Source organism: Homo sapiens, chromosome 8, assembly GCF_000001405.40.
Source record: "Homo sapiens chromosome 8, GRCh38.p14 Primary Assembly".
Lineage (NCBI taxonomy): Eukaryota > Metazoa > Chordata > Mammalia > Primates > Hominidae > Homo > Homo sapiens.
Window position 1 is genome coordinate 140,656,958 of NC_000008.11, and position 14,247 is coordinate 140,671,204.

The window sequence follows — 14,247 nt, forward strand, 5'->3', positions numbered from 1 at the left end:
CCCATTTTGTCTTGTAATGGAAGTCACCTCATGGTCCTGATAGCCCTCCAGGCCACTAAGTTCATGGGATGTGAACTGCCTCTGCTCAACTCTGGTGGCTGCGCTTGACCTCTGACCTCTGGCCCATGCACTGATGCAACGTCTGTCTCTCCACCTGCTCTAAAAACCAAAATTTTCTTTGGTTTATAGGAAGATGTGAAACTTACCCGCAATTCTAGGTGTTCCTAAGAAGTGAGACCATGAGGCAAAATGTATTAACTGCAGGTAAACTTTTTTTTTTTTGAGACGGAGTCATGCTGTTGCCCACGCTGGAGTGCAGTAGCGCGATCTCCGCTCACTGTAAGCTCCGCCTCCCGGGTTCACGCCATTCTCCTGCCTCAGCGTCCCGAGTAGCTGGGACTACAGGCGCCCGCCACCACGCCTGGCTAATTTTTTGTATTTTTAGTAGAGATGGGGTTTCACCGTGTTAGCCAGGATGGACCTCGTGACCCGCCTGCCTCAGCCTCCCAAAGTGCTGGGATTACAGGCGTGAGCCACCACGCCCGGCTAACTGCAGGTAAACTCTTATCTCAAACAGTGGTTCTCAACTTGCAATGGTTCTGTCCCTCCTTCCCCTGGGAACCTTTGGCAATGTCTGCAGACAGGTTGGTTGTCACGGCTTGGTGGGAGTGCTACTGGTTTCTAGTGGGTGAAGGCCACGGATGCTCCTAAACCTCTGAGAGTACACTGGACAGGTCCAACATCAAAGTTCCTTACAAGGTATGTAGAGCACTTTACCATTTACACTGGACTTAGCTCACTCTCACAGTCACCACTTCAAACATGAGGAAATGGAAATGTAAGAGACTCAAGAATGCCAAAAATTAGAAAAAACTCACAAGGATGGCATTCCCTTGACATTTGCTTCAGATGAAGTAACTGTCACAGATCCAAAGATGAAGCTGCTTTTGCACATAAGAGCATGTATTTACCTGGAAAAAATTCACTCAAATCCCTCCCTTTGGAGTCTGAGTCCCTAGTGCTGGAGATCTCAGTTCTATTTGCTCCCTGCTCTGTGGCTCACAGAGATTCTAGCAAGACTAGGGTGGGCCTGGGAAATGCTAACAATTTCCTTGACAAGTGAATTATGCTTTGAGTCCGAGTTAGCGGAATAGTGAGACCCTGCGCAGGGGAAGGTTCTTTCATTGAAGACCATTGCTACTTCCATCCTGAGCTCTGCATTTAATAGGTGACGATGGAATGAAAAGGTTAACTTACGCCACGCTACCCTTCTGTGGTAACATCCTTGACTTGTTTAGAAGATTAAATAAAAAAAAAGAAACTAATTAGTGAGAGGCTTCCTGATAATTATTGGGAACTCTCTTGTATGTTATCTTATCTGACAAGTCACCTGAAAAGCCATCTGAAGAAACAGAACCAAAAGAAAGGATATTACAACAAGAACTTTACTGGTAACACCTTTTTAATAGGTCAAAGTAACTGTACAGTTCATTATATTCTTCCTGAGAATAATTTATATCCCCCAACAAACTAAAGGGAGGGTATATTTTTTCAAAATTAACAGAATGGATGGTGTAACTGGACATCAAAAGAAAACCAAATTCCTGTTTTGCTTCATTCTCTCCTGGGAAGACAGATACAAGGAAGGGTTAGTTAACTCCAGTGGCTGTAAAATAGTCAACATGGCTTTAATCTTTCTTTATAAATTATATAAAAATGGAAAAAGGGGATGGTTCTGGAACTTCTCCTCAATGCAGTTTGGAGGTGCTCTGGTACAAAGCATTTCTGCTTCCAAGAGAAATAACATTGCTACAAAAAACTGGCACATTATTCTGTGAAAAAAGACATGAGTTTTTAGTTGTGTTCTACAGCTAGTTCCCGACCCAATGCTTCACATATCCACACGAAAGTAAAAGGCAGGTAAGACAAAAAGGGCTGTAGTTTTTTCTGAAATAACTCAAGTCTTCAAAATATAGCTTTTATATTCTTTGTAAAGTGGGATTAGCATATTGCAACTGAAGGGTGTTCTAACAAACAAAAATTCCAGTCTGGATAATAATTCTATGGTAGACAAAAGAATTCTCAGCCTCTTGGGTTTCCTGGAATTCTTTGCTTCATGCTCTCCTCTTCCACTATGCAGCTAAGGTAGTTTAGGAATTAAGATGTCACCCCTTGGCCATCCCCCTTTAGAACGTATCTTAATGTGAACATAAATTGTTCTTCATGATGCTTAAAAGCTTACATATAATTTTCATTCTTAGAAAAACGCCACATTTTGGATCCTGGATTTTTCTGAATATCATGATTGAAAAAAACAAAACAAAAAATGAACCCAAATCAAAGTGTGGTTAAACTTATATGAGAAAGATTTTTCAACCAGATGGTCATTCAAAAAAGTTGGAGCTGTAAGTGCTGGCGACTGAGGACACAGGGTTAATTCCTCGCTGCTGGTGGAAGGCTAGAGAACATCTTCAAAAGAGGGTAGCAAGACGTGCTCCTAGGGGAGGCTCAGTGTGGTCTCGTCTGCCCAAGCATTTTCAGTCTTGCTTGGTCAATGACATCGAGTAAGTTTTTGGCATCCACAGCCAGGGCGTGAGCAGCAGTCAGCATTTGCTTTTTGTACTCTTGCTGGAGGCTGGTCATGACATACTGCTGGGCCAGTTTCATCTTGTTGATGAGCTCACCCAGGTCAGAGTTCAATAGCTTCTGTGCCATCTCAATCTGAAAGACAAGAGATAGGTCAGGAGAACTGTTTTCAGTGATTTTTTTTTTTCTTTTTTAGAGAGATGTTCTTACTGTGTTGTCCAAGCTTGCCTCAAACTCCTGGGCTCAAGGAATCTTCCTGCCTCAGCCTTCCCACTAGCTGGGAACACAGGCACATGCCACCAAGCCCTGCACCAATGAACTTTTCAGGGAATTTTTATGAGCCTTTCTTTCAGTGCCTCCATGAGAAGAAAACTTTATTTCCTGTAAATAAATCTTCCTTAGGAGCAATAGGATGTAAAAATCAATCTTTAAATTTTTTTTTTCTTATTTTAACTTCCCACACTACATTCATGCATTTAAACATTTTTTTTACTTACTTTAGAAATTCAGCTATTATAGTGTGCCTGTTTGTGCATGCCGATTCACACATGCAGATCCAGCATCTTGTTCCTTCCATTCAAAGCCTTCCCTGACACCATGACTAACTTCGTCTCCATTTGCGCTGTTTAGACTTTATTAATCTCAGTGACTGGCAGGGCTTTTGTTTCATAATAGAACCACAGAATCTGACAGAACTTCAGAGATCATCTATTCCAAACACTTTCACATTAGAGTGGACAACTGAGATACAGTAAGATGTGCTGAAGGCCACACAGCTCTTTAGTCTCCAAGCCAGGACAAAAGCCTCAGTTCTGACTTCTGGTCTTATGCTTTCTACTATGCCAACTCTATTTCAAGACCTTCCTTGGCTATACAAAAAATGGTTTAAGGATGGTGGCAGGGCGCAGTGGCTCACTCCTGTACAATTTCAGCACTTTGGGCGGCGGAGGCAGGCTGACGGCTTGAGCTCAAAAGTTTGAGGCCAGCCTGGGCAACATGGTGAAACCCCATCTCTACAAAAAAATACAAAAAGTTAGCTGAGTATGGTGGTGTGCACCTGTATTCCAAGCTACTCAGGAGGCTGACGTGGGAGGACGGCTTGAGCCTGGAAGACAGAGGTTGTAGTGAGCCAAGATCGTGCCATTGCACTCCAGCCTGGGTGACAGAGCCAGACCATTATGTACGCCCCTCCCCCCGCACACATTAAGTCAGGGCAGCAATGGTGGAAGCAGCTAATGAACACAAAATGCTGTCCTACAGGGTTCGAATGCTTTGCATGGGAGAGTCTCATGATCCTTCTTATCTGTTTCTTCAACCAGTGGTGACTTATCCATTTGCTCTTTTATCAATTATGGAGCACCTATTATGTACGAGACACTTGGTGCTTGGATACAAGGAGGAAGACCTGTTTTTACCCGCAGTCTACAATGGGAAAAGCATACACAGGACCCTATAATACACTGGAATAAATCACGTAGTAGAAAAGTACATAGATAAGACAGCAATGCATTCTGTCTCAGAGAGGGTCAGAAAGACTTCACAGAGAGAATTTGTCTGAATTTGGCCTATACTGTAAAAGTAGGCTGGCTTCAACTGTGAAAGCCACACCTAGTTGATCTTTATTTGGCAGGACTTGGCAAGAGGGATAAGAGATTTTTAAGAAGGAGAATGACAAAATCTAGAGAGATATTCTAGAAAGATGGCTCTTGGCGGCAATGTGGAGGCTGAATGGAAGGGCAGGGGAACAGACAAGAGGCAGATAAACCATCTAAGAGGCCATCTTCAGAGGAGAGGTGATGGTGGATGTGCAGGTGAACGGACCAACCTGAGACCTGATGAGAGATGGAAGGTGTGTGGTTGTTTGCATGTGTGTAGGGGATTGGGAACAGACATGCAAGTGCATGGTGTTGTCACTGACTGTGGAAGCAAACAAGGAAAGCAGACCGTTCTTGCCAATGGCAGACAGTTGGAGATCAGAGCTCAGGGCGGGGTTCTATAAAATCAACACAGATTTGGGAGGCATCAAATACTTGAATCTATGAGAATGAGAAGAACTACCAGAGTGAAAAAGTATTTTTTAATAAAACAAGTGGGTAGCACTTTGGGAGATGACCACACTCAAGGGTGGCAGGGAACAAAAGCCTGAGCAGAGGTCTTGGCAGGAGAGGAGTGAGTGAGGAAGCTCTGGGCCAGAGCAGGGGGTCTCAAGGGGGAGTTAGGACTGAGGGGAAAGCAGGGGCTCTGGCAATTAGGAGACCTTGAAGGGCTGTTACAGCAGAGAGAGTTCCAAACAGCTGGAGCACTGGAATGCTCTGAGCTGGCGCTGAGTGCAGCTGCCATGTGAGGAGGTGGCCCCATCAGGGATGGGCTGCTCTTTCAGGAAGTACAATGGGGACAGGAGGAGGCATGAGGACAGTGAAAGGCAGATGCAGGATCAAAGACAGGCTCCTCTTCTTTTCAAAAATGATTTAAGGCCAGGTGTGGTGGCTCACGCCTGTAACCCCAGCACTTTGGGAGACCGAGGTAGGAGGATGGCTTGAAGCAGGAATTTGAGACCAGCTTGGGCAACACAGTAAGACACTGTCTCTACAAAAAAATAAAGAATTAGCTGGGCGTGGTGGTATACAACTGTAATCCCAGCTACTTGGGAGGCGGAGGCAGGAAGATCACTTGAGCTCAGGAGTTGGAGGTTATAGTGAGCTGTGATGGAGTCACTGCATTCCAGCCTGGGTGACAGAGACAGACCCTGTCTCAAAAAAAAAAAAATTAATAATTAAAAAATACTGTATACAGGAGAGCAATTTGTGTATTGGAATCAGGGGAGATGAAAAGATTACTTTAGACTTTATCAACTAGAGTAGGTGTTGACAAATAGTCCCACTAAAATATCCACTTGGTAGGACACCATTTTCTTGCCTCTAGCATATGGAACTTCTCCACTTTGGGGCAAAACTGAGGCTTGTCATGGAAAGCCAGAGGCCCGGTGAAGCAGGTAAGTGAGAGAACCCCATTTGGTTGGGATGTGAAGTTACACTACAGCACCAGTCACAGGCCTTCTCAAAAACAAGTTAAAGGGTTTATGCATATGAATCAATGCCACTTACAAAGGAATCACCAACAGGAGTTGTGTCCAACCGTCCTTCAGAAGTCAATGTCCAGTTGGTCAACTGGAACATCCCCTGGACATCGTATGTCTCTGGGTATGATGCTGAGAAGGATTCAGCATTATTTATGTTGTATTCCTGACTGGAGATGCAAAATCTCAATCTCATCAGGAAGAAACAAATGTTTATAGGATATCCCTCAATCCAACTTTAAGAATACTCTATAAAATCACTGAGCCTATGTTTGTCAAAAATGTCAATGTCATGAAAGATAAAAAAAGGCTGAGGAGCTGTTTCAGATGAAAGGAGGCTGAAGAAAGCAACACCACGTGCAAAGTGTAATCCTGGTCTGGCTCTCACAGGCGACGGAAAAGTGCTACAGAGACAACCGACGACCCTGGAACGTGCCCTGCAGAGTGGGACAGTGCATTACATCATGTTAAAGTTCCAGAATGTGGTGATTGTGTGGTGGTTATGTAGGACAATGGCCTTGTTATGAGAAATATAAATGGAAATCTTAAAGGGGAAGAGGGCATGAGATACACAGCCATTCTCAAGCTGCTCGACAGCAGGAAGTGATGTGTGTACACACATAGACAATGGAGCAAGGTGACAATGTGCTGACATGTTAAAAGGCTGTGAAACTCAAAGGAAAGTTGGGAGTTCTCTCTATTAATCTTTTAACTTTCATATAAATCTGAAATGATTTCAAAATAAAAAGGACAAACAAAAAGTGTGTGCTGGGATGAAGAACTGCCCATGCTTCCCTAGAAATGAGAAAAGCAGGCAGCTGGAGTCAGCAGGGAGCAAGGCTGAAGCCTGCAGATCCTGGACTCTGTAGTGGGGACGCATCCCACATGCGTTTGTCAATCCCAACCACAGAATGTACACCCTAGGCTCAAAGACACTAAAACAAATGCAGGTGCTTCCTTTCATTTGTTAGTCATATAATTGAAACAAAATTGCCAAAAGGTAGCAAAAATGATAGTTGTTGCTGGGCTACAGTATTTTGGGTCAACTTTTATTCCTTAAAACTTTTTTTTTTGAAACAGGGTTTGCTCTGTCACCCAGGATGGAGTATGGTGGCTTGATCCTAGCTCACTGTAGCCTGAAACTCCTGGGCTCAAGCGATCATCCTGCTTCAGCCTCCTGAGTAGCTACTGCACACAGCTAATTTTTAAAAATTTTTTGTAGAGACAGAGTCTCGCTTTGTTGCCCAGGCTGGTCATAAACTGGCTTTAAGCCATCCTCTTGTCTCGGCCGCCCAAAGTGTTGGGATTACAGAGGTGAGCCACCACACTCAGCCCTTAAGAAGCTTCTTAAAGACATTCATTAATTTAAAATGATTTTTTTTTTCAGATGGAGTCTCACTCTGTTGCAGGCTGGAGTGCAATGGCACGATCTCGGCTCACTGCAACCTCCACCTCCCGGGTTCAAGTCATTCTCCTGTCTCAGCCTCCCAAGTAGCTGGGACTATAGGCGCGTGCCACCATGCCTAGCTACTTTTTGTATTTTTAGTAGAGATGGAGTTTCATCATGTTGGCCAGGATGGTCTCGATCTCTTGACCTCGTGATCTGTCCGCCTCAGCCTCCCAAAGTGCTCAGATTACAGGCGTGAGCCACTGCGCCTGGCCTGGAATTTTTTAAGACAATAATTTTATTTATTAATTTTTTGGTAGAGATAGGGTCTCACTATGTTGTCTTGAAATCCAGGCCTCAAGCCATCCTCCTGCCTTGGCCTCCCAATGTGTTGGGATTACGGGCGTGAGCTACCATGCCTGGCCTAAAAGAAATTTTTTATATTACTACTTGAAATGGAAAACCAGGATCATTTGCAAGCTCAACTATTTTTAAGGAGAATTCGAGGAAGCAGACCATGCACAATGCCCGCCCCATTCATATCAGCATTCTTCTACCTTTTAGGTTCATGGCACCAGCAGCAGTTTCCCATGTGCCTTCCTCATCCACTGCTCAGAGCCACTTGTAGCTCAGATGAGGACCTTGCATAGTGGCTCTGCAGTGGACTAGCAGCAGGAAGACCCAGGATCTGGAATTTGAGTGGCCACTGCTCCACACCACCCCTATGCCCTAGAATGAACAGCCCCGTCCTGGTTGGGGCCAGTGTTAGAGGGAAGGTCATCGCTTGTAGGGCAGTTGATGTCTCTGCTGGCCACAGACTGAGGAGCGGCCTTCAGCACCACAGGCATCCCTGAATGTGTCCCTGCCCAGTGCTGTCACAGAGGGCTGCAAGGGGAAGATTGTGCCCTACCTCTCGGTGGGTGCTGGCTGGTAGGAGGGGAATGGTCTCATCCACAGTGGCCAATAATGTCCTCAGGGCCAAGCCGACTTCCTAACAGACAAGAATCACAACCAATATTAGAACACACACAAAGGATTTTTATGCTTTTCAGTTATATATTTTTTTATTTCCTTTCCACAAGTTTCAAGGCAAATTTCTGTATTTCTTTTTCTCAGTGCTTAGCCCTATCTTGTAAGTTATGAGGCTCCTTTTTCTCCCAAAAGATTTAGATCTGACTGTTCATTGCTCTAATACCCTAAGGAGTGAGTTGAAGACCAGAAGTTCATGTAAGAAAAGTCACACAGATGCTGAGGGTGGAAAGCAGGATTTTTTTTTTTCTCATCTACTGCTTCCAAGCAGATTATACCACCCTCCTGGCTCCAACTGCCAACCCTGCCAACACAGGTTAGGATAAATAGTAGCACCTTTCCCCAAGTGTGTTCACCAAATGTGTTCTCACCCAGGTACTTTCAAACACCTCATGAGGCTGGCCAGAGATGACACCACTGCCCCGGATGCAAGGGGGCAGCCTTGCTTTGGACCCCGTTCTGAATCTCAGGCTTCATCTATTAGGCACACTGAGCAGAAACACTCCTCCCTGCCACTTCCGAGTTGCAGCAAAAAGGGTCTAACTATGATTTAAAACAAATAATTTTAAACTTCAAATTTTCATTACTGTCATACTTATGAGGACCAAATAATGTAATGACTAAGACATCAAATTACATGTAATATGAATAAAACCAGTAAGAAAATGATAGTTACTTATAATTGGATCAACATACAAAAAGAACGTCATTTGGCCAAAGTAAAACGGTTAAAAAAATAGTGTCTATAAAATCACCATATAAAATCTTAGTATGTACAAAATTCTGAATGGTTTCACCTACTGTTGAGTTGTTTAAACTTGGCTGTGGGTTCATGCAAGTTCCTCCTTAAGAACTTTGGTTAAAACTGTTATGTGGATACACTTTAAAAAAGTGAACCAGAATGGATTAACTGTGCTTTCCATGAAACATTACAACTTTCAAGCAGCTTTTTCCACATTGATGGTTTATAAGAAGCTGTTGCAAAGATTGCTAATAGGTATACTAAAAAACAGTTGTAGGGGCCAGGCGCAGTGGCTCATGCCTGTAATCCCAGGACTTTGGGAGGCCGAGGCAGGCAGATCACCTGAGGTCAGGAGTTTGAGACCAGCTTGGCCAACAGGGTGAAACCCCGTCTCTACTAAAAATACAAAAATAAGCCAGGTGTGGTGGTGCATGCCTGTAGTCCCAGCTACTCGGGAAGCTGAGGCAGCAGAATTGCTTGAACCTGGGAGGCAGGGGTTGCAGTGAACCAAGATCGTGCCATTGCACTCCAGCCTGGGAGCCTGGGTGACAGAATGAGACTCCATCTCAAACAAAACAAAACAAAAAACCCAACAACAACAATTGTAGGATTCTATAACTCAACAACAAAATACAGTATGATTTAAAAAACAGGCCAAAAAAGAAAAAAAAAACTTGACATTTTTCCAAAAAAGATACACAAACGCTCAAAAAGCAAACAGATGTTCAAGACCTGTATGCAAATCAAAATCACACTTAGATACACTTCACATCCATTAGGATGACAATTATTTTTTAAAACACACACACAAAACCCCAAGCTTCAAAATAACCCCCCAGAAAATAACACGTTTTGGTGAGAATATGGAGAAACTGGAACCCTTGTGTGCTGTTGGAGGGAATGTAAGATGGTGCAGCCGCTGTGAAAAACAGAATGGTGGCTCCTCAAAAAATTAAAAATAGAATTATCAGTGATCCAGCAATTCTGAGTATACACTCAAAAGAAGTGAAAGCAGGGTCTCAAAAAGATATTTGTATATCCATGTTCCTAGCAGCATTCTTCATGATAACTGAAAGGTGGAAGCAACCCAAGTACCCTGTGATGGTTCAGTAAATAAACAAAATGTGGTGTGAACATACAGTGGAATATCACTCTGCCCTAAAAAGGAAGAAAATTCTGACACATGCTACAACATGGATGAACTCTGAGATACTATGCTGAGTGAAATAAATCCATCACAAAAAGACAAATACAGTATGATTCCACTTATAAGCGGTACCTAGGGTAGTCAATTCATAGAGATAGCAAGTAGGATGGAGGTTGCCAGGGGCTGGGGGAGGGGAAAAGAGGAGGGTTGTTTCAAATGCACAGTTTCAGTTTTGCAAGGGAAGGGTTATGGAAGTGGATGGTGCTGATGGTGGCACAACATTGTGAATGTACCTAATGCTTCTGAAATGTATGCTTAAAAATGGTTAAGATGGTAGTTTATGTTACGTGTATTTTACTATAGTGAAAAAAAAGTATGTTCGAGTATGTTTCAGAAATACTGGCTTAGAGCAAATTTCGACCACACTCTGTGAACTGGAGGACACCCCTGTGCAACCAACATGCCAGTCTGTACTCTTTAAAAGGAGCCATTGCTGACTTTCCTTGGACCTAGTGTCCTCTTTCTTTCTCTCTCTCTCTCTCTTTTTTTTTTTTTTTAAAGAGATGGGGTTTCACCATGTTGGCCAAGCTGGTCTTGAACTTCTGACCTCAAGTGATCTGCCTGCCTCAGCCTCCCAAAGTTCTGGGATTATGGGCATGAGCCACCACACTCAGCCCCTAGTGTCCTTTTACACAGGACACCTGTCACTGCCTGCTAGGATCCCACTCCACTGAACACAATTTGGAAAACATTAGTTTACTGGCATGATATTTTTATTTATTTTTACTCTTTTTAAAAGAAAATTCAATGAACACCCACATACCCAACCCTTAGCTTAAGAAAAACAACACAGATAAATCCTCCCAATGTACCTTTCTTCAGCTGGCTCCTCCTTACAGGTGCGGGATCTGAATTTGATAATGATCATTCCTCTACTTGTCTTTGCACTCCAACAACGTAACCACATCTCCCTAAGTCTTACACAGGATTATTTTGCATGTTTTTCAAGTTTACATAAATGGCATCATACTGTAAGCATACTTTTGCAGCTTTCTCTTTCACTGCAGACTTTATGTGTGAGTGGTAATTATTAAAAGAGTGTACTGCTTCAAGACACTCCCATCCTAGTGTTTACTGACAGAAGAAAACAAGATAGGAACGGCAATTCAGAATAACTGCAGTTCTCACTAACATTGTCACTGTATGGTGCTTTCGTGAAGAGCTTCTAAAGCATCAGTTCTGACTTTGGTGGGGCGGGGGGACCTAGAGACATCTATCAACTGGCACCACAGCTTACAGGAAACAAGAACATTTTTGCCAGTACACAAAATGACTCTATTTTACCTTCACCATAGGGACATACTCCTCTGGTGGGGCTGGCTGGATTTTACTGGACATCTCGATGACAGCTTTCACCAGGCCCGTCACATTCTCGTACACCTTATCATTCGACCGGTCCAGGTTGGCAGTAGGAGGGGGGCTGATTTCCTGGGGCTGAAGCTGACAACACAGAAGCCAGTCATTTTTCTGCTCTCCAGCAGATGGCGTGAGATCACCACAATCAAGCTAGAGAGGGTCTTTACAAGAGATCAAAGCAGATTGCAGAAGGTCATTGATTTTCTTGTGTGTGCGGGATATAGTTCAGATTGAGAATGACAGTAAAGTAATTCCTCCAAGTGACAAATTAGGCAGTATTTTCTTTCTAACTTTGAGCTCAGTTAAAGGAAATGAGATGGAATCATACATATTATACTAAAAACCCCAGATTCTTTCAGAGACCTGATTCAATGTCCCCTCACCCCAAAATCATTTACCACAAGATAATAATCCATCTGGGAATTTACTGAATTTTAGACAAAATTACCTATTTGGCTAAAGAGTCAAACATTCTACATGAAGACTATAAGGATTTCCACTTAGTTTGAATTCTGCAGTGAAAACGGTATGGCTCAGCTTAGCTGCCCTCAGCCGCCTAATGGAAACATGTTCTTTGTACAATTATAAAAAGCTGACATATGAATGCACTTTAAGGGGATAGCATCTGTTTGCAGGTCGTGACTGAAGTCAAAGCAGCAGTGGTGTCGCTAGGAGCCTCTCTGCTCAAGACCCCGGTTTCAGCCAGCTCTGTGCTGACTGCTGGAAAGCACCTGGGCCTACGCTTATAAAGCCTCAGCTCTCTCACCCGGGCAACTGTGATCAGGGAAGATGAGGCCAAAGATGTAACAATGTCTACCTAGGGCCTGGGCACAGAAGAGACATCAACAAATGTTACTAAGATAACTTGAGTACTGATGGTGGAATAACATGAGGGCCTTTGGGAAATCTTCAGCAGTATTTAAAAATTCCAACTGGTTAGAATTACACCAGCATAAAATGGTATATATATATATATATATATATATATATATATATATATACACTTTTTAAAAAAGACCAACTTGTAGTACATATAGTTTAATCATGAACCTGATGCCAGTGCTCAGTCTAAATATAAGTTCCCATTTCTGAACCCTTGGGTGCTTTTGCCTAAGTAATCTGGAACAGATTAATTCTTGGTTGTTCCAAAAGTCTGGGTATGAGATAGAAAAGCACAAGAATAATTCATTTACTGCAAAGATGTACATGTCTCATTCTTTTGCATATATAAACACTGCTTTTGGCATCTGTCAGTCATGAGAGGTGACAAAGCAGGCCGAAGTGCCCTCCCACTTGGGCTTCCTGCTTTCCAGTCCAAAGTTACATGCAGAGAGCCGGGTGTGATAGAGAGAGCTGGACAGACACACAAAGACACGATGTGCTTACCCTCCATGGCTATTGTCGAACGGAAGGTGAGGAAAAGTTAAAGGAATTTATCAGAGAAAGGGAAAAAAGAAAAACAATATTAATAAAGGCATAAGACAAATCCCCCATAAAAACACATGAGCAGAACAAAAAGGAGCTAGTTTCCAAGCCTGCCCACCAGCTCTCACTCACTGTTGCCAGGGTGTGGCTACTGTGCCACCTGCTCACTGCCCCAGCATACTGCATAGAGAGGTCTGCCATGCACCATGCTCAGTTACAAAACAAATGCAGGGAACATGCAAAGCCCGAGGAACAATCCAGCAGCAGTGCAAGGTCAACAGAATGAGAGCTCTTCAAAAAGAAAGGAGGAGGAGGACATATGGTTTTAATTACTGAAAAGTGCCCATCTGAATTCTCATAGATTCAGGAGAAACTGCAGCAGCCTCAATTCCTGAGCCCGGCCCCTCAATATCCTTGAGATCCACTTCATCATCTAGCCATAATGCTATCATAAAGATTCCTGACTTGGGGCTGAGTTTAAAGATATTAGGCCCAGCCTGGCCAACATGGTCAAACCCTGTCTCTACTAAAAATACAAAAATTAGCAGGGTAATGGTAGTGCATCCCTGTAATCCCAGCTACTCGGGAGGCTGAGGCAGGAGAGTCATTTGAACCTCGGAGGCAGAGGTTGCAGTGAGCTGAGATTGTGCCACTGTACTCCAGCCTGGGTGACAGAGCGACACTGTGTCTCAAAAAAAAAAAAAAAAAAAAAAAAAAACAACAACACACACACACACACACACACACACACACACACACACACACACACACACATTGGGAGCTTATTTTAAAAACAAAAAACAAAAGTAGAACAGAAACCCCTTTTTTGAGCTGATTCTTATGATTAGGTTCTACTACTTGAAACTGAACAGTTTTATTTAATGTGTTTTCTCTAAAGCTCAAGCCAGGGCGCTATCCTACTATAACCACACCATTTCCAAGAGATGACTTCCTGTATTTTATTTTCTGCACTGAGAGTCACAGTGTGGTCTTCTGTTTAACTTCATAGGATGTACCAGTTCAAACTACATCAACAGGGCTTCTTGAGGAGGGGGCCACAGGGTGTTTCATCAAGAAGAAATAGACAATTCTGTAATTCTAGGGAGGTTGTCACCTGTTTAAAGCTTCTGTTCCTTTCTACTTTACCCTTTGCCCAATTATTGTGGTAGAGGGGCACTGTCATAATGCTTCTAGGGACCATTCACAGTGACATTCCAGAAGGGAAAGCTGTTTGGAAAGACATCCTAATGGTTTTCTATTTTCTGGAGCTTGACAACTTGGAAGCTCCTTGGCAGGCAGTTGATAAACCCTCTATAGATGTAGCCAATTCCAACCACTTAGGTTGATGCTTAAAGACTCAGTTAAGAACCAAAATGCAGTGCTACCTAGGAAAAATTGAGACTGATTTTGGCTGTTATTTGGATGAATTATTTTAGTTA

General features: G+C 43.2%; 1 protein-coding gene across 176 annotated transcripts in view; it reads right to left on the reverse strand.

The window, feature by feature from the left end:
* The window catches only part of PTK2 (protein tyrosine kinase 2), a 344,180-nt gene continuing 330,875 nt past the window's right edge, over positions 943–14,247 (reverse strand). For 77 of the 176 annotated variants that reach the window (NR_148039.2, NR_148038.2, NR_148036.2 and 74 more), the window contains 4 exons: positions 12,770–12,778; positions 11,312–11,467; positions 7,960–8,040; positions 943–2,721 (listed from right to left, as the gene is read on the reverse strand). Coding sequence is in view for 169 of the 176 variants with exons in the window: in NM_001352699.2 (NP_001339628.1) it covers positions 2,509–2,721; positions 7,960–8,040; positions 11,312–11,467; positions 12,770–12,778 (459 nt within the window). In the remaining 7 variants the exon portion in view is untranslated. The remainder of the gene's footprint in view (positions 2,722–7,959; positions 8,041–11,311; positions 11,468–12,769; positions 12,779–14,247) is intronic. The other 99 variants (NR_170671.1, NR_170672.1, NR_170673.1 and 96 more) reach the window with 5 other exon arrangements.